The 18,976-nt window shown below is 43.8% G+C and overlaps 2 protein-coding genes across 10 annotated transcripts in view, besides 4 other annotated features; one reads left to right on the plus strand and one right to left on the minus strand.

Moving 5' to 3' along the window:
* Positions 616 to 1,815: an enhancer, noted in NCBI's record as "CDK7 strongly-dependent group 2 enhancer chr1:23336854-23338053 (GRCh37/hg19 assembly coordinates)". NCBI's record gives its function as "activates an origin of replication core promoter dependent on BRD2, BRD4, P300/CBP, MED14 and CDK7 cofactors, with strong dependence on CDK7, by STARR-seq in HCT116 cells {active_cell/tissue: HCT116}" and the evidence as "EXISTENCE:reporter gene assay evidence [ECO:0000049][PMID:35650434]".
* On the minus strand, positions 1,089 to 6,107 carry TEX46 (testis expressed 46). The gene is made up of 3 exons (NM_001242521.2): positions 6,027 to 6,107; positions 4,138 to 4,300; positions 1,089 to 1,356 (listed from the first exon to the last, which is right to left on the minus strand). Coding segments are annotated over exons 1-3 (366 nt in total). The 5' UTR covers positions 6,029 to 6,107; the 3' UTR covers positions 1,089 to 1,155.
* Positions 9,527 to 10,214: an enhancer, noted in NCBI's record as "H3K27ac hESC enhancer chr1:23345765-23346452 (GRCh37/hg19 assembly coordinates)". NCBI's record gives its function as "activates a minimal SCP1, AML or CMV promoter by ChIP-STARR-seq in primed H9 embryonic stem cells {active_cell/tissue: H9 hESC(primed)}" and the evidence as "EXISTENCE:reporter gene assay evidence [ECO:0000049][PMID:30033119]".
* The window catches only part of KDM1A (lysine demethylase 1A), a 64,222-nt gene continuing 54,968 nt past the window's right edge, over positions 9,723 to 18,976 (plus strand). For all 9 annotated transcript variants that reach the window (NM_001009999.3, XM_006710473.4, NM_001410762.1 and 6 more), the window contains exon 1: positions 9,723 to 10,202. In NM_001009999.3, the coding sequence (NP_001009999.1) occupies positions 9,852 to 10,202 (351 nt within the window). In that variant the 5' untranslated portion in view covers positions 9,723 to 9,851. The remainder of the gene's footprint in view (positions 10,203 to 18,976) is intronic.
* Positions 9,970 to 10,039: a silencer, noted in NCBI's record as "silent region_404". NCBI's record gives its function as "represses an Ori minimal core promoter by ATAC-STARR-seq in GM12878 lymphoblastoid cells {active_cell/tissue: GM12878}" and the evidence as "EXISTENCE:reporter gene assay evidence [ECO:0000049][PMID:35858748]".
* Positions 10,215 to 10,900: an enhancer, noted in NCBI's record as "H3K27ac hESC enhancer chr1:23346453-23347138 (GRCh37/hg19 assembly coordinates)". NCBI's record gives its function as "activates a minimal SCP1, AML or CMV promoter by ChIP-STARR-seq in primed H9 embryonic stem cells {active_cell/tissue: H9 hESC(primed)}" and the evidence as "EXISTENCE:reporter gene assay evidence [ECO:0000049][PMID:30033119]".

The following is an 18,976-nucleotide window of genomic DNA, read 5'->3' on the forward strand; positions in this document are numbered from 1 at the left end:
GAAACATTCTATTGTAGAACTACACATAAAATGTGGAAACAATGCTAAGGAAAAAGATTCATTATAGCTGGCTTGAGGGGAGCTTCCTAGAGGTGATGGCTTTGGAAGAAGTGAAGAATTGTAACAGCAGAAAGGAGAAAATTAGGGATCACGTGAAGAAACAATGTAAGCTTATGTGGATGCATTTGGGGGATGGCAAGTTCTCTGGTTTGGTTAGAATGCATGAGACTTGCATGAGAGAGACGATTTTAGGTAGAACACCAACCTAACACTAAGTCACACTGAATCAAACAGTGAGATAATGATTTCCTTTCCAGTTTTCATTATGAAGAAAAGTCTCGGCTAGGTGCTTGCTTGTCTTTCAAACGCTAACACTTGCTGATCTCACTTTTTAACACAGAACACCGGCTCAGATCTGTCAGTGGGCAACCGAGCTCTGGTTGAAATGCAGTAACACGAGCCGGGCGTGGTGGCTTATGCCTGTAATCCCAGCACTTTGGGAGGCCAAAGCAGATGGATCACCTGAGGTCAGGAGTTTGAGATCAGCCTGGCCAACATGGTGAAACCCTGTCTCTACTAAAAATACAAAAATGAGCCACACATGGTGGCGGGTGCCTGTAATCCCAGCTACTTGGAAGGATGAGACTGGAGAATCACTTGAACCTGGGAGGTGGAAGTTGCAGTGACCCAAGATCGTGCCACTGCACTCCAGTCTGGGTGACAAGAGCGAAACTCTGTCTCAAAAAAAAAAAAAAAAAAAAGAATGAGCAATGGACATGGTCAGAGCCAGGCTTGGCAGGGCTGGCTTCGGCCTCTGGGTACAGGATGAGAGGGGAAACTAGGGGCTAGGGCAGGAGTGGGGAGACTCAGAGTGAACAGCACAGGGCCAGGGAGGAACCAGGGTAGAACCAACTGAAATAGAAGACTCTAGAAAGGGATGGTTCTAGAGCCCCATCAGGCCGTGTCACTACGTGCTACCTGGTAGACCTGGTGTGTACAGATTTCTTTTCCAGAGGCAATCTTTCAGCCTCTGATCCTCTTCCTGGCTCCTAGGCACCTTTCTGTTATGACTTACTATGAACATTCAATAGGCTGTGACTGGGTTTTACTGAGGTAAAAGGTAACATCGGCAGAGGCCAGCCCGCCTCGGCCTCATTAGCTGGGGGAACTCGAAGTACAGTCAGACAGGGTGGGGCAAATTGACTCATGCCTCCTCATTCTGTGTTTTTTCATGGGAAAATTCCGATGTCTGCTTGACCGCCCGTGGTGATTCATTTTATTCCATATGATGAACATCTGATTTTCTAGGACCTTCATCTTCATTTCACTGAACAACAGCCGTTGGAGGATCTCGTCCTGGAGGGCAAAGCAGGCATGCGTTCTATTGACTTCTTTTGTGTTCACGGCCTTGCTGTTCTTGGAGTCGTTTTCAGAAGTCTTTGGTTTCTCTTCCTCCTTTTAAGCTCCCCAGCACCAGGAAAAGGGGAAAGTTGGTTAATAATGATAATCCCTTCCTTGCTTGAACACCTGCTCTGTGCCAGGTGGTTTACAAACATTATCTTAACAGAGTCTCACAACTGCCTGCAAGGGGAGCATCATTGCCTCATTTTGTGGAGACTTGGGACCCAGTAACGGGAAGTCACTTTCTTTTTTTTTTTTTTTTTGAGACTGAGTTTCACTCTTGTTGCCCAGGCTGGAGTGCAATGGTGTGATCTCGGCTCACTGCAACCTCCACCTCCCGGGTTCAAACGATTCTTCTGCCTCAGCCTCCAGAGTAGCTGGGATTACAGGCACGTGCCACCACACCCAGCTAACTTTTTGTATTAGTAGAAATTTTTGTATTTGTATTTGTAATTATTAATAGAGGCAGGGTTTCACCATGTTGACCAGGCTGGTCTCGAACTCCCGACCTCAGGTGATCTGCCCGCCTTGGCCTCCCAAGGTGCTGGGATTACAGGCGTGAGCCACCAGGCCCAGCTTGGGAGGTCACTTTCTCAGCATCATACAGCCTCAAATTCCCGAGTCCTCCACTTGCCTTTGGTTCATAGGAATGCATGAGATGGCCCGCTAATCTGCCAGTCACAGTGGACATAAAGCCCTTAGCCTAAATATATCTATCTCCAGAGCCCGTTTTTCCAACATGCCTCTCTGAGCATTTTGTCAGGCTCAGTACGATCTCAAACTGCGAAGTCTCAATGGTCTCATGACATGCTTTTATCTCTATGATCCTCATCTCTCCCTCCCCTGGTTAATAACACTTATTTTTTTTTTCTTTTTGGATTCAGCTACAAACTAATGGTCTTTAAAAATGTTTAAAAATTAAGCCAGGTGTGGTGGCTCATGGCTGTAATCCCAGCACCTTCGAAGGCCGAGGCAGGAGGATCGCTTGAGCCCAGGAGTTTGAAACCAGCCTGGGAAACATGGTAAAATCCCGTCTCCACAAAAACTAGAAAAAATTAGCCCTGTGCACACCTGTAGTCCCAGCTACTTGGGAGGCTGAGGTGGAAGGATCACCTGATCCCAGGGAGGTCGAGGCTGCAGTGAGCCATGGTTGTGCCACTGCATCCAGCCTGGGCCACAGAGCGAGACCCTGTCTCAAAAAACTAAATACATAAAAAAAAAAAAAGGTTAACTGAAAAAATTCAACATATCAGGCATGCAAAAAGGTAAATAATACAACAAATACTCATATTCCCATATCAACTTAAGAAATAAAATATCATAAATATAACTAAAGTTCCCTGTGGACTCTCACACCCACAGCATCCTCCTCCCTCCCTGAATATCATCACCTTAACTGTAATCCTGCATTTAAAATTTATTTTTCCATGCATTTCTTTATAAAGTAGTTCTCAATGGGAGGCATTCTGCCTTCCCCAGGGGACATTTGGCAATATCTGGAAATACTTTGGATTGTCATGAAATGGCAGGTGTGCTACTTGGCATCTCATGGGTAGGGGCCGGGGTGGCCGCTAAGCTAACAATGCACAGGTGACAGGTGAGCCTCCCACAATGGAGAATTATCTGGCCCAATATGTCAATAGTGCCAAGGTTGAGGCATCCTGCCTTAAAATACTTTCACTGCACATACACATCCATAAATAAGATAGGCTATTGTTTTGCCTTTTTTTTTTTTTTTTTTTTGAGACAGAGTCTCACTCTGTCATCCAGGCTGTAGTACAGTGGCATGCTCACTGCAGCCTCAACTTCTCGGGCTCAGGTGATTCTCCCACCTCAGTCTCCTGAGTAGCTGAGACTACAGGCACGCACCACCATGCCTGGCTCATTTTTGTATTTTTTTTAGAGATGGGGTTTCCTCATGTTGCCTGGGCTATTCTCAAACTCCTGGCCTCAAGTGGTCGTTGACCTGCCTCGGCATCCTAAAGTGCAGGGATTATAGCTGTGAGCCACTGCGCCAGGCTGTTTTGCTTTTTATTTTTGTTTTTAGATGGAAGCTTGCTCTGTTGCCCAGGCTGGAGTGCAGTGGCATGATCTCAGCTCACTGCAACCTCAGTCCCCTGGGTTCAGGTGATTCTCCTGCCTCAGCCTCCTGAGTAGCTGGTATTACAGGTGTGTGTCACCACACCCAGCTAATTTTTGTATTTTTAGTAGAGACGAGGTGTTACCATGTTGGCCAGGCTGATCTTGAACTCCTGACTTCAAGTGATCCACCTGCCTCGGCCTCCCAAAGTGCTGGGATTGCAGGCGTGAGCCACTGCGCCCAGCCTAGCATGTTTTTTAACATTAAATGAAAGATGTCATAATCTATGTACATTTCTGCTGTCTTCATTATTCTATTTTAGATACGTATCTATGTTCGTCCATGTTAATTTTTTTTATTTTTTTCACATTAAAGTAGTTGTTACTCTTGCCAAAGCATGTTGACATCAAACATGAAATAGGAGAGTCTGGGGTGGTCCTGATTTAACAGCTGAGGTGAGGCAACTGAGGCCTCGTGGAGGGAAGTGATTTACCCAGCACCACCTAAGAGGAAGCTGTAGAGTGGTGGTTTAGACCAGTCTTGGATTCCCCAGTCTTGCCCCATTATTTCGACACCTACCCTGTTCCCTACCCACCTAATCTAGCTGCAAATATCCCCTATCCCTGAGCTGAAGCCAAGCCCCATCTTGTGCTCACCTGCTGGGGCTCTGGGAGGGTGAGCTTGTGTTCATACTTGACCAACCAGTTGCTAAGCAACAGCAGAAGGAATAGGAACCCAAACAAGGCTGGCTTATAGCTCATCAGCCAAGCTGCCACTGCTCCTATGGTGCCTGCGGAGGCAAGTATCCCATGGAGACTCCTAAAGAGAAATATCAGTTCTGCCAGCATTATGGCGTGGAGGCACACAGGCCCCAGGACCCTGCCTCAGGCCCCTCCATGACAAGAGTCACGGCCACCCACTCCTCTGAGTCATAGCCAGCTCCCTCCCCCCACCCAGCTGCCGCATAACAATAATAATAACTCCTCCTTTGTCTGAAGCACCCACTATGTGCCAGACTCTTTGACAGGCAGTTTGAAAGCATTATCTCATGATGTCCTCACAATAGCCAGGTGATGTAGGCCTCCTCATTCATTCACCAGTACTTCTGGGCCTCGCTACTAGCAAAAAAAATGGCCAATACAGAGCCCCTACCATCATAGGGGCAAAGAAAAGTTATCCAAACTTAGACATAACTGCTTTCACAGTTATACTAGCCCATCTATTGGTCACCTGATACTTTAGGGGAAGGTAACTTTGTTTAATATAATATGTAATATTGATTAGGTTTTGGACTCTGTATAGTTAGACATTAATTTTTTATTTATTATTATTTTATTTTATTTTTGAGACAAGGTCTCACTGTGTTGCCCAGGTTGGAGTGCAGTGGTGTGATTGTGGCTCACTGAAGCCTCCAACTCCTGGGCTCAAGTGATCCTCCTGCCTCAGCCTCCTGAGTAGCTAAGACTACAGGCATGTGCCACTATGCCCAGCTAATTAAAAAAAAAAATTATTTTTTTAGAGACAAGGTCTTGCTATATTGCCCAGGCTGGTCTCAAACTCCTAGCCTCAAGCAATTCTCCCTCCTGGAGACATTAACTTTTATTATTTTATTTTATTTATTTATTTTCTTTTTTGAGACAGACTCTCACTCTGCTGCCCAGGCTGGAGTGCACTGGTACCATCTTGGCTCCCTGCAACCTCTGCCTCCCAGGTTCAAGCGATTTTCCTGCCTTAGCCTCCCAAGTAGTTGGGATTACAGGCACGCACCACCACACCCACCTAATTTTTGTATTTTTAGTGGAGACAGGGTTTCACCATGTTGGTCAGGCTGGTCTCGAACTCCTGACCTCAAATGATCTGCCCACCTCGGCCTCCCAAAGTGCTGGGATTACAGGTGTGAGTCCCCGTGCCCAGTGAAGACATCAGCTTTTAAAAAATGCTAGCCAGGCACGGTGGCTCACGCCTGTAATCCCAGCACTTTGGGAGGCTGAGGCGGGTGGACCACCCCAGACCAGACTGGCCAACATGGTGAAACCCCGTCTCTACCAAAAATACAAAAATTAGCCAGGCGTGGTTGCGGGCGCCTGTCATCTCAGCTACTCGGGAGGCTGAGGCAGGAGAATTGCTGGAACCCAGGAGGCAGAGGTTGCAGTGAGCCGAGATCGCGCCACTGCACTCCAGCCTGGGCGACAACAGTAAGACTCCTTCTCAAAAAAAAAAAAAAAAAAAAAAAAAAAAAAAAGCATACATTGCTATAGTAATTCCACTTTTGGGTATTCCCAAAGAATTGAAAGCAGAGTCTTGAAGAGATATTTGTAGACCAATGTTCACAGCAGCATTATTCACAATAGCCAAAATGTGGAAGTAACCCAAGTGTCCATCCACAGATGAATGGATAATAAAATGTTATATACACGCAATATTACCAGCCTTAAAAAGGAAGGAAATTCTAACATGTTACAACATAGATGAACCTTGAGGACATTAAGCTAAGTGAAATAAGTCAGTCACAAAAAAAAAACAAATACCGTATGATTCCACTTACATGAGCTATCTACAATAGTCAAATTCATAGAGGCAAAGAGTAGAATGGTGGCTGCCAGGGTCTGGAAGGAGGGGCAAATGTAGTCATTGTTTAATGTATACAGAATTTTGCAAGATGAAAATAATTCTGGAGATTGTTTATGCAACAATGTGAATGCATCTAACACTACTAAACAGTATACTCAAAATGGTTAGGATCATAAATTTTATGTTATGTGTATTTTATCACAATAAAAACATCTGATATGAATTAGTTATTTCTGGGGAAAAAACGGGTAAGTGCCACCACATCTGGCTAATTTTTGTATTTTTAGTAGAGACGGGGTTTCACCATTGTTGGCCAGGCTGGTCTCCTATTCCTGAACTCAGGTGATCCACCCGCCTCGGCCACCCAAAGTGCTGGGATTACAGGCATGAGCCACCACACCCGGCCAGGAATTCTTTATGTAAAAATATCAGTTTTAGTGGCTGTGATATTCCAATATAGAATCATGCCTTGCTAGGACCATGCCTCACTGAACGATGGGATACATTCTGAGAAAAGCGCCATTAGGCAATTTCATTGTTGTGTGAACATCATAGAGCATACTTAACACAAACCTAAATGGTATAGCCTACTACACACCTAGGCTATATGGTATAGTGTATTGTTAATAGGCTACAAACCTGTATGGCATGTTACTGTACTGAATACTGTAGCAATTCTGTCTAAACATAGAAAAGGTAGAAAAGGTATGGTAAAAATGTGTTATATAATTTTATGGGAACACTATCTCATATGCAGTCTGTTGTTGATGGAAACATTGTTATGCGGTGTATGATTGTATCAAATTGGTTACCACTTGTTGGGGCTTTTTAAAATTTTTATTGTTTTAGAGACAGGGTCTTGCTCTGTTGCCCAGGCTGGAGTGCAGTGGCGTGACCATAGCTCACTGTAGCCTTAAACTCCTGGGCTCAAGCAATCCTTCCACCTCGGCTTCCCAAAATGCTGGCATTACAGATGCAAGTCACTGTGCCTGGCCTTTGTTGGGTTTTTAGGTTAGTTCTCCTTTATCGTCATTACGTATAACCTGAGATACACAGTGTTGAAGTTAAATCTGTACACATACTGAATCTTTCCCTAGAATGCTTTCCTGAAAGTAGAATTACTTGGTCAAAGGGTATGTATGTTTTTAACATCTAATTTCAAGTTTTATCAAACTATTAAATGTGCAAACAAGTCAGATAGAACTACAGGATTTAAAACAAGCTCCAATCCACTGCCTCACCTCTTTCCACCGTCAAGTTCCAAGCCTTAGAGACAACCAATTCCAACTTTTTTAGCTGTTTCTTCTGTATTTACCTTGATATTTCTAAATAGTATGCTTATATTATTTTTTGATTTCTCAATTTTGACATTATGTATTTTATATATATATATATATATATATATATATATATATATATATATATATATATATATATATATACTTTTTTTGAGACGGAGTCTCGCTCTGTCGCCCAGGCTGGAGTGCAGCGGCGCGATCTCGGCTCACTGCTACCTCCGCCTCCTGGGTTCACGCCATTCTCCTGCCTCGGCCTCCGAGTAGCTGGGACTACAGGCGCCCGCCACCATGCCCGGCCAGTTTTTTTGTATTTTTAGTAGAGACGGGGTTTCACCGTGTTAGCCACGACGGTCTTGATCTCCTGACCTCGTGATCTGCCCGCCTCGGCCTCCCAAAGTGCTGGGATTACAGGCATGAGCCACCGCGCCTGGCCAACATTATGTATTATATTTTTATGGTGAAAAATAATTTAGCTCCCAAGCAGCACCTCCCCCAACAACCTCCCTACTTCCCTAAATCCTTAAAACCTTCTCATCTTTCTCCCCACAAACTTTCTTTTTTCTCCATTCTCTTAATGTAATTCTATCACTTTGGTTAAAACAATATTCACTGCTCGGCGGGGCGCGGTGGCTCACACCTGTAATCCCTGCACTTTGGGAGGCCGAGGTGGGAGGATCACTTGAGGTCAGGAGTTGGAGACAAGCCTAGCCAACATGGCGAAACCCTGTTTCTACTAAAAATACAAAAATTAGCCAGGCATGGTGGCACACGCCTGTAATCCCAGCTACTGGGGAGGCTGAGGCAGGAGAATCGCTTGAACTTGGGAGGCAGAGGTTGCATTGAGTCAAGATTGCACCCCTGCACTCCAGCCTGGGCAACAGAGCAAGACTCTGTCTCAAAAAAAAAAAGAAGAAACAAACAAACAAAAGAACAGAAAAAATAAATAAAACAATATTCACTGCTTACGTTTTTATGGTCATGTTAATACAGTTCACAGCTGAGCCATATGTTGTACTATGATTATATTTTCTTTCTTTTTCTTTTCTCTTTTTTTTTAGAAACGCAGTTTCACTATGTTGCTCAGGCTGGACTTGAATGAACTCCTAGGCTCAAGTGATTCTCCCACCTCAGTCTCTCGAGCAGCTGGTACTACAAGTGCGTGCCACGCCACTCGGATACATTTTCTTTCTTGCATAGCTTTTACTTTTTTTCCTTTCTACATTTGATTGCCTTTTTGTCTGTTTGCTTAGTTTTTTACAAAAAACAACTTTACTGAAGTACTACAGTTACATAAAACATACCTGTTTTACATGGATAGTTCATAGAGTTTTGACAAATATATACACCTATGTAACCATCACCCTAATCAAGATATAAAACATTTCCATCACCCCCAGCAAGTTCTTTCTTGTTCTTTTGCAGTCAACCCCCGACCCCCATCTCAGGCAAGGGCTGATTGGAGCCTATTACTGGAGATTAGTTTTACCAGTTCTTGAACTTCATGTAAATGGAATAATTTTTTGACAATTTCACTTCGAAGAGACAGACTATTAAAAAGACAATTGTTTGTGTAATAAGTACACGCATGCTAAAAGTACACGACCTGTTCCAGTTTTGGGTTAGCAAGGGATTCCTCGAAAAATTAAAAGAATAAACCGCTACTATCATTATTAGAAAGAATTAACCTGGAGTAGAAAGAGGTGTTATGTGGATGGGGATGGGGGACATGAAGGATGGGGGACATGGGGGATGGGGGACATGGGGGATGGGAGAAGCGCAAGACATGGAGTGCGAATGAGGTTGGGGTCCAGCCAGAAGGAAAAGCATGAACAAAGGCTTGGAGACAAGAGCAATTCCGTCTGGACTCAAACCTGGATTTCGTAACTTGTCTCCATTTTACTACCATCGAAACTGCTGTGCTCTCCAAGTTTTTTGCCCAGTCCAAGCAGGGCAATTATGAATAAGTAAGACGCTCTACCAACATATTTCAGTGTTTTCCCCCATTAGACTGTAAGTTCTTTGAAAGCTAGAACTTCATAATGTAACCCTTGTTACGTAGTAGGCAAGCATTAATAAATACTGGTTGAATTAACGAATAATTGGGTGAGTGAATGAACGAACGCACGCATGCAAACCCGAAAGTCCCTGGAGGAAATGGTCACCTTCGGAGGTTTAGTCTGGCCCAGAAGCCCTAAGACCACGGACTGTGCCAGGTCCCACTCCAAACGCCGGGGAGACGCTCTAGGCAAGCTACACGTTCTTTGCTGCGGTGCCACTCTAGCCGCGAGAACGCCGCTCTATGGCTGCGGGGGAGGGGCGGGGCTCGTGGGTGTCTCCGACCCTTTTTGTCCCGGCGCGGCGGGAGCGCGCTTGGCGCGTGCGTACGCGACGGCGGTTGGCGGCGCGCGGGCAGCGTGAAGCGAGGCGAGGCAAGGCTTTTCGGACCCACGGAGCGACAGAGCGAGCGGCCCCTACGGCCGTCGGCGGCCCGGCGGCCCGAGATGTTATCTGGGAAGAAGGCGGCAGCCGCGGCGGCGGCGGCTGCAGCGGCAGCAACCGGGACGGAGGCTGGCCCTGGGACAGCAGGCGGCTCCGAGAACGGGTCTGAGGTGGCCGCGCAGCCCGCGGGCCTGTCGGGCCCAGCCGAGGTCGGGCCGGGGGCGGTGGGGGAGCGCACACCCCGCAAGAAAGAGCCTCCGCGGGCCTCGCCCCCCGGGGGCCTGGCGGAACCGCCGGGGTCCGCAGGGCCTCAGGCCGGCCCTACTGTCGTGCCTGGGTCTGCGACCCCCATGGAAACTGGAATAGCAGAGACTCCGGAGGGGCGTCGGACCAGCCGGCGCAAGCGGGCGAAGGTAAGGCTCGACCCTTCCCTCAAACGACACCGCCTGGTGCCGAGCTTCCCCGAGGCTTCTCCGCCCTCCCCCGCCGCCGCCGGGTCTTGGGCCCTGCGACCACTCAGACCTCCCCTTGTATCGCTGCGCACGCCACGTCCCCTCTAGCTGGACGGGTGGGGTGAGAAAGGAAAAGTCTTTGCCGGTGTTGACTGCGGTCTTTGTGCTGGGTCCCGAGCGACGTGGGAAGGGGCATCGATGATTGCTGGGAGGGGTATTTTATTCCTTAGGTCTTTCTTGCACACCTTTTCATTTTCTTGACTGGAAAATGGCTCCCTGACGTGGGGTTACGGTTGGCGTTCTTGGAGACCTCACTTGTTTGTTCACAGATAGGTCTGGAAGCTGTTGGGCGATATTGATGGCGTTTCAGCTGGGTGCACGAGGGGGCTGTAGGTTGATGCTGAAGAAATCGCCTTAGCCGGGGAGATGAAAAGAAAGGGTCGTTTTTGCTTTTGTTTTTGTTTGAGCAAAACCCTGCTGTGTGGTAGGAGTTCTAGTCTTTTTTTTTTTCTTTTTTAAAATCCTCTCAGCGATCTTTTGGCGCAGAATTTTGCAGATGAGGAAGCTGCTGATTGAGAGAGCAAATAATAGTCAAAATGCAAATATATGGGAAGAAAAGATTTGACTCCAAACAGTATATACAGACAGTGACTGCCTCAAATGTCTGTGTCCTAGATGCTATATTCAGCGTGTCACCAACATTACTTTTTTTTGTTGTTGTTAAATATCAACGGGCAGGTATTGCTAGCCCTATTTTAGGAATGAGTAAACTGAGGCACACAATTTAAGCAACTTGCCTAAAGTCACAAAGCTAAATAAGTGATGGAAGTGGAATGTAATTCCCACATTCATGTTGTTACAGGGTATCATCAGCCCTTGAAACAAAGGACCACATGGGACACTGTGTGCAGGGCACTGGGGCAGTATTAGGGCGCAGACTTTAGACTTGGGCCTTTTCTGGAGATTTAATGGTCGGTCTAGTTGGAAAAAACAACCTGGATATATATGTGCGTGTAGTCAACATTTAAATAAAAATTTGCAGATTATATAATTTATGCCTGAAAAAATTGTCTACATAATTTTTAAGTGGGAATACCAAGTCAGTGTGTATGGGGAGCTTCTTGAGATGAGTATTACCCAGTCTGAGAGCTCTCATATTTATCTGCCTACTTGAGCCAACTCTCTAAAGTATAACCAGTGCTGGATGAAAGACCGTTTTGGAGGCAAGACTTTCTGGAGCTTTTACCAAAGCATGGGTTAGAAAAGCACAGAGGTTGGTGACACCAGCCCTCAGAAATGAAATAAAGGGCAGAAGTCAAGAGTGTTATTTTACGATTTCAATAGACAGGTGGCCAGAAGCCACGTATAAGATGTTTTTAAAAACAGATTTATTGGCTGGGCACAGTGGCTCACTCCTGTAATCCCTGCACTTTGGGAGGCCAAGGCGGGTGGATCACCTGTGGTCAGGAGTTCGAGACCAGCCTGGCCAACATGATGAAACCCCCGTCTCTACTAAAAATACAAAAAATTAGCCGGGCGTGGTGGCGGGCGCCTGTAATCCCAGCTACTCCGGAGGCTGAGTTAGGGAGAATTGCTTGAACCCGGGAGGCAGAGGTTGCAGTGAGCCCAGATCGTGCCACTGCACTTCAGCCTGGGCAACAAGAGCGAAACTGTCTAAAAGCAAACAAAAAAACAGGCTTATTGGGATAATGCATGTATAATAATATTCACCATTTTAAAATGTATGATTCAGTGGTTTTTAGCATATTTACAAGATTGTACAGCCAACACCACAATTGATTTTAGAACCTTTTCATCATCCCCAAAGACATCTGTATCATTAGCAGTCACTCCCCAGTCCTCCCTACCCCCAGTCCCTGGCAACCACTAATCTACTCTTTGTCTATGGATTTGTCTATTCTGAACATTTTATATAAAATCTTATGTAGCCTTTTGTATTTGGCTTTAGCATGTTTTCAGGGTTCATTCACGTTGTAGTGCTTTCATTCAGTACTTGATAACTCTTTATGGCTGAATAATATTCCATTGTATGGATATACCAAATTTGGTTTACCCATTCATCATTTGACGCACATTGGGGTTTGTTTCCAAGTCTTGGCTATTTTACATAATGCTGCTGTGAACATTAATGTACAGTTTATTTTGTGAATATGTTTTCAGTTCTCTTTGGGTGTGGGCCTAGGAATTCCTGGGTTTTATGTTAATTCTAGGTTTTACTTTTGAGGTATAGCCAAACAGTTTCCCATAGCAGCTGCACCATTTTACATTCCCATTAGTAAATATATGAGGGTTCCAGTTTCTCCAATGTTCTTCTTCGTTTTTTTTTTTTTGTTGTTGTTGTTTTTGAGATGGGGTTTCGCTTTTGTTGCCCAGGCTGGAGTGCAGTGGCATGACCTCGGCTCACTGCAACATCCGCCTCCAAGGTTCAAGTGATTCTCCTGCCTCAGCCTCCCGAGTAGCTGGGATTATAGGCATGCACCACCATGCCCGGCTAACTTTGTATTGTGTTTTTAGTAGAGATGGGGTTTCTCCATGTTGGTCAGGCTGTTTCAAACTCCTGACCTCAAGGTGATCTGCCCACCTCGGCCTCCCAAAGTGCTGGGATTACAGGCATGAGCCACTGCGCCTGGCCTTCTTCTTCTTTTTTTTTTTTTTTTTTTTTTTTGCTGAGACAGTCTCTCTCTGTCACCACCCAGGCTGGAGTGCAGTGATGTGATCTCGGCTTACTACAGCCTCCTCCTCCTGGGTTCAAGCGATTCTCCTGCCTTAGCCAGCCGAGTAGCTGGGATTACAGGCACCTGCCACCACCTCTGGCCAGTTTTTGTATTTTTAGTAGAGACAGGGTTTCACCATGTTGGCCAGGATGGTCTTAAACTCCTGGCCTCAAGCCATCCACCCACATCGGCCTCCCAAAGTGCTGGGATTACAGGTGGAGCCACCTTGTTGAGCCTCCATATCCTTCTTGACATTTAATATTGTTTGTCTTTTACTGTAGCCATCCTATTGGGGGTAAAGTGGTATCTCATTGTGGTTTTGATATGCAGTTCCCTAATGACTAATGATGTTGGGCATCTTTTCATGTGTTTATTAGCCATTTTTATATTTTTGTTGAAATGACTATTCAAATCCTTGGCTCATTTTTAAAAATTGAGTTGTCTTCATCATTTTCTAGTAAGAGTTCTTTACATATTCTGGTTACGGAAATTTGTGATTTTGATGAGATCCAATTTATTCTTTTGCTCCCTTTACTTCTGGTGTTATATCTAATAAACCATTGCCTTATCCAATGTCACGAGGATTTACTCCTATGTTTTCTTCTAAGAGTTTTTTAGTTTTAGCTCTTGCATTTATGTCGATGATCTTTTCTCAGTTAATTTTTGTATATGGTGTGAGGTAGGGGTTCAGTTTCATTATTTTGCATGTTGTCCCAGCACAGTTTATTGAAGACTATTCTTTCTCTCAGCGAATAGTTGGCACCCTCATTGATTAACTATAAATCTAAGAGTTTATTTCTGGACTCTCAACTCTATTCCATTGATCTATTATATATTTCCGTCCATTCCAGTACCACACTATCCTGATTACTTTAGTTTCATAATAAATTTTGAAATTAGGAAGTGTTCCTCAACTTTGTTCTTCTTTTGCAAGATTATTTTGGCTGTTCTGAATGCTTTGCATTTCCATATGAATTTTAGGACCAGCTTGTCAGTTTCTGCAAAAAGGGCTGCTGGGATTCTGATTGTGATTGTGTTGAATCTGCAGATTGTAAGTTTGGGGCACACTATTAGATTTTACTGTTATTTTTTAAGCTATCTCCTACAAGAAAGATTTCTTTTTTTAGCTAACTGATTAATTTTTTGGAGGCAGGTTCTCACTCTGTCACCCATGCTGGAGTGCAGTGGCTCAATCATAGCTCACTGCAGCCTCAACCTCCCAGGCTCAAGTGATGCTCTTATCTCAGCCTCCTGAGTAGCTGGGACTACAGCTGTACACAACCATGCCTGGCTAATTTTTTATTTTTTGTAGAAATGGCTTCTCCCTGTGTTGCCCCAGCTGGCCTCGAACTTCTGGGCTCAATCATTCCTCCTGCCTCAGCCTCCCAAAGGGCTGAGATTACAGACATGAGCCACCTCACCCAACCAAGATTTTTTTCTTTGTAATTCTCCTGTGTTTATTTTAACTCATCTTACTTACCCTGTTTTTTAATCCCCCATTGTAATTAGCTCTTAAACTTTCAGGAAAAAAATTAGTTATGTGTTTGTTTGGGGCAGCAACTACTAGGAAGCTAGCAACTATCCAGTCTTGGGATCCAGAGGAAACAGACTTTAGAGGATAGAGTATCCATTTAAGGAATAAAAAGCAAGCTGAGGCCAGTATAGATAGGCCATGCTTCAGTAGTTCTTCAGTGTATGCAAGGAAAAAAGTGCATGTATTTTATGACTTGGGAGCTTATCCAGTTTTGAGGACTGTACTTTAACAAAATTATATCATTACATAATTAAAATTATGTTTAGGGTATTGGAAGGAGTTCATGTAATTGAGTGTCCCTGAAGCTTCAGTTTCATTAGTTTCAGAATAAATTCACTTTTGGGCATGTGTATGCTAAAATTATGGCAAAATATTTAAGGTTTTAAATTGGTAAATTGGGTTGGAACTTCACGAACACCATACTCCTTTAGGAATGGTGGCCTTGAGCTAGGCCATGAAATGGCAGAATTTAGAAAAGTGTTCTGGAAAAGGGTGGACTTTTTGGAGTTTAAGTATTTCATCTTCCTCTGATTCATTTTCCTCAGGTAAATAAGCCCTACCTTGTAAAGTTTAGATATAATATAAACAAAATGCTTATTGCAGTGTTTGGCGTATAATTAGTAGGTGACCAGTAATTAAGATACTACCAGTGGAGAAAAGGAAGTGGTTTGAGAAGCATCAGGGAATCCAGAGTGGACAACTGAATGTTGAGAACAATGGACAAATGAATTTAATTAGAAACAGGAATCATCTAGGAACAAGATAGATTGAAGGGACCAGTAGCGTTGGGGTTGTAGAGTTGTGTCCAGGTTGTAGTGAGCATTAGATTCTTGCTGTCCAATATGGTAGCCTGTAGCCACATGTGGCTATTAAGTTTAAATTGAAATTAAAAACAGTTTCTTCAGTCACATTAGCTACATTATAAGTGCTCAATATAGCACATGTTGAAGCCACAGAATTGGAAGCACAGATAGAGAAGTTTTCCATTATGACAAAAAGTTCTATCAGACAGCCTTGAACTAGATTATGAAGTGCAGACCATAAGTGCTGTGAGACTTCAGAGAAGATGAAAGATTTTTTTTTTTTTTTTTTGAGATGAAGTCTCACTCTTTTCCCTCAGGCTGGAGTGCAATGGTGTGATCTTGGCTCATTGCAACCTCCACCTCCCGGGTTCAAGCAATTCTTCTGCCTCAGCCCTCAGAGTAGCTGGGATTACAGGCACCTGCCACCACGCCCAGCTAATTTTTGTATTTTCAGCAGAGACGGGTTTCACCATGTTGGTAAGGCTGGTCTAGAACTCCTTACCTCAGGTGATCCACCCACCTCGGCCTCCCAAAGTGCTGGGATTACAGGCATGAGCCACTGCACCTGGCAGGTGTATTTTTTAAATTTAGAATAATTAAGAAATAATCTTCAGAGGAGGTGGACCTTGAATATATGGCATTGGATTAACAGAAAAAGATGGAAGTAGCTTTAGGGAACTTAGAGGTTGGTAGAGCAGCATTGAGGACTTTTTTACTCGTGTGTTAGTGATTAGAATTAAGTTTGAATTCAGGCCAGACATGGTGGTTCATGCCCGTAATCCCAGCACTTTGGGAGGCCAAGGTGGACAGATCGATTGAGCCCAGGAGTTTGATATCAGCCTTGGCAACACGGCAAAACCCTGTTTATACAAAATTATAAAAATTAGCCATGTGTGGTGGCATGCGCCTGTAGTCCTAGCTACTCAGGAGGCTGAGGCAGGGGAATCACTTGAGCCTGGGAGGCAGAGGTTGCAGTGAGCTGAGATCACGCCACTGCTTTCCAGCCTTGGCGACAGTGAGACCCTGTCTTAAAAAAATAAAAATAAAAATAAAAAAGGCAGTTTGAATAGTCAAGGCCAGAGAGTGTATATGCTGGTTTGAAAAATTTGACGTTCATATCTGTTAAGCTATTAGAAAATATCACATAATGGGAAAATTAATCTGGCAGCTTTGCCGTAGATAAAAGGGAGAAAGTTTTTTTTTAATTTTTATTTTTTGTGGTACATAGTAGGTATATATATTTATGGGGTACATGAGATGTTATGATATAGGAATGCAACGTGAAAGGAAAAAGTTTTGTTTTTTTGTGTGTTTTTGTTTTTTGTTTGTCTGTTTGTTTTTTTTTTTTTGAGGCAGTGTCTCACTTTGTCACCCAGGCTGGAGTGCAGTGGCCCGATCATGGCTCACTGCAGCCTTGACCTCCCCGGTTCAAGTGGTCCTCCTGCCGTAGCCCCCCCAAGTAGCTGGAACTACAGATGTGCACCACCACCCACAGCTAATTTTTGTAGAGATGGAGTCTCGCTATTTTGCCCAGGCTGGTCTCAAACTCCTTAGATCAAGTGATCTGCTCACCTCAACCTCCCAAAGTGCTAGGATTACAGGTGTGAGCCACCATGCCCCGCCCAAGAAATATTTCTTTATAAAGACTGATGCTTTAAGGACATTGAGGAGTGAATGAATCATTGTAATAAGGGTGGGGAGGAGAAGGAAGAGACTAAAGATTTAAATTTCAGAGTCATCAATGTGAAAGTAAGAATAATTACCCTACTCACTCATAGTCTGCCTGTTGGGACATCTTTATGTCCTTGGTTGTAAGTAGTTGTAGAATCTCTGAAGTCTTTGGGGTTTTTACTTAGGGATGAGAGAGTCCCAATCCTTTAGGTTCAAAGTACACATTCCTTTTCTCAGGGGAATAGTTTTTATTGAAGTTTGTATGATTCTTTCAGATGGTTTTAAAACTTTATTAAATGGTCACTTCTTGGCTCTGGGCAATTTTAAAATTATCTAAAAAAAAAAACTTTATTAAATGAGGAAAGCCTTTTTTATAAAATAAAATTTTAAGCAAAAATCCCAAAATAAAACACACTACTATTAAGTAGTATTAAGAAGTTAAAATTTATAACATTTATTTTAGTTGTCAGTCTATGAGAAAATGAGGTGAAGCCAAATTTGAGATTGGAAATTAAGCATGATAGTCTTCTTTTAGCCTTAGAATCCATTTTTTTCCCCCAGCGACTAGACCACCAGGGAAGAATCCAATTTTGTTTCTGTATTTTGCTTTGTTTATGAAGTATTGTGGCAGTCTGGTACTGATTTGACAAATTGTGCAAAAGGTAGAAGGTTGGTTTTGTTTGCTTTTTTTTTTTTTTTTTTGAGACAGGGTCTCGACTCTGTCACGCAGGCTGGAGTGCAGTGTTTAGATCACAGCTCACTGTAGCCTTGACCCCCCCCCGCCCCCACCAGGTTCAAGTGATCCACCTCAGCCTCCTTAGTAGCTGGAACTGCAGGTGCATGCCACCACACCAGGCTAAGTTGTTTTATTTTTTTGTAAACACAGGGTTTCCCTGTGTTGCCTAGGCTGGTCTAGAAGTGGGCTCAAATGATCCTACACTTTCTTCCTTCCAAAGTACTGAGATTACAGGCTTGAGCCACCGCTCCCAGCCTTTTTTTTTTTTTTTTAAGCTTGCTTTGTCATCTCAGGATGCTCTCAGTTGAACAGACATGGCAGAAGAAACTTCATTCTGAAGTCTACCCCAAATTGAGTTACCCAAGCAGCACAAGTTAATTGTGTTGGTTGTCTCTAAAGGATTAAGATTTGTTTTAACACATGAATGTGTAATACATTTAAAAAATTAAAATTCTAAATCTTGAAGAATCCTAGGGTTCTGTGAAACAGTTTTGTTTTTAATAATACCATCAGATATTATTGCTTCTACCTGTAGGTATTTTTCTCATCTCTTTTGTTCCTAAAGACTAAGAACCCTTTCTAGACCACCCTTTTCCAAGTGTATTCCTTGTTAATTATTTCTTTGTCAAGGCATTGGATTAAACAATGTTGAAAAGATTGTTTTTGATGCAAAACTTAGCAGTACCTTTATTTTCTATTTTTTTGAGACAGGGTCTGTCTCTGTTGCTCAGGCTGGAGCACAGTGGTGCGATCACAGATTGCACCCTTGGCCTCCTGGGCATAAGCGGTCCTCCTGCCTTGGCATCTGCCTGCCTCAGCCTCCCAAAGTGCTGGGATTACAGGCATGAGCCACCACGCCCAGCCTTCTCAGTACCTTTAATGTGAATTATGACTTTCCTAGAGGGGGCCTGTAAAGATTGCAGTTTCCCAGACTTGATATTGGATACTTTACTCCTTCAAAGGGCATAGTATCCAATGGAACATCCTTTGGGAAAAACTGAACTACAATAGAAAAGATTTTGTATTAGTCTTTGTTTTTGTCTCAAAATTTGCACATTGTCCAGTTCCATATTAGGTACTTAAGTCATTATTGAATGAATAGGATTGATGGGGCAGAGGATCAAAGGACTGAATCTTTGGGGAAGAGTCAAGCACTATTGAGGGGTAAAAGGAGAAAGAAAACTGCATACTATAAAAGTTTATGGTCTATTCTGACTTCTCTCCCCCTTTGAAACTTTTTTTTTTCTCCTTGCTGC

This window comes from Homo sapiens, chromosome 1, assembly GCF_000001405.40.
Source record: "Homo sapiens chromosome 1, GRCh38.p14 Primary Assembly".
Lineage (NCBI taxonomy): Eukaryota > Metazoa > Chordata > Mammalia > Primates > Hominidae > Homo > Homo sapiens.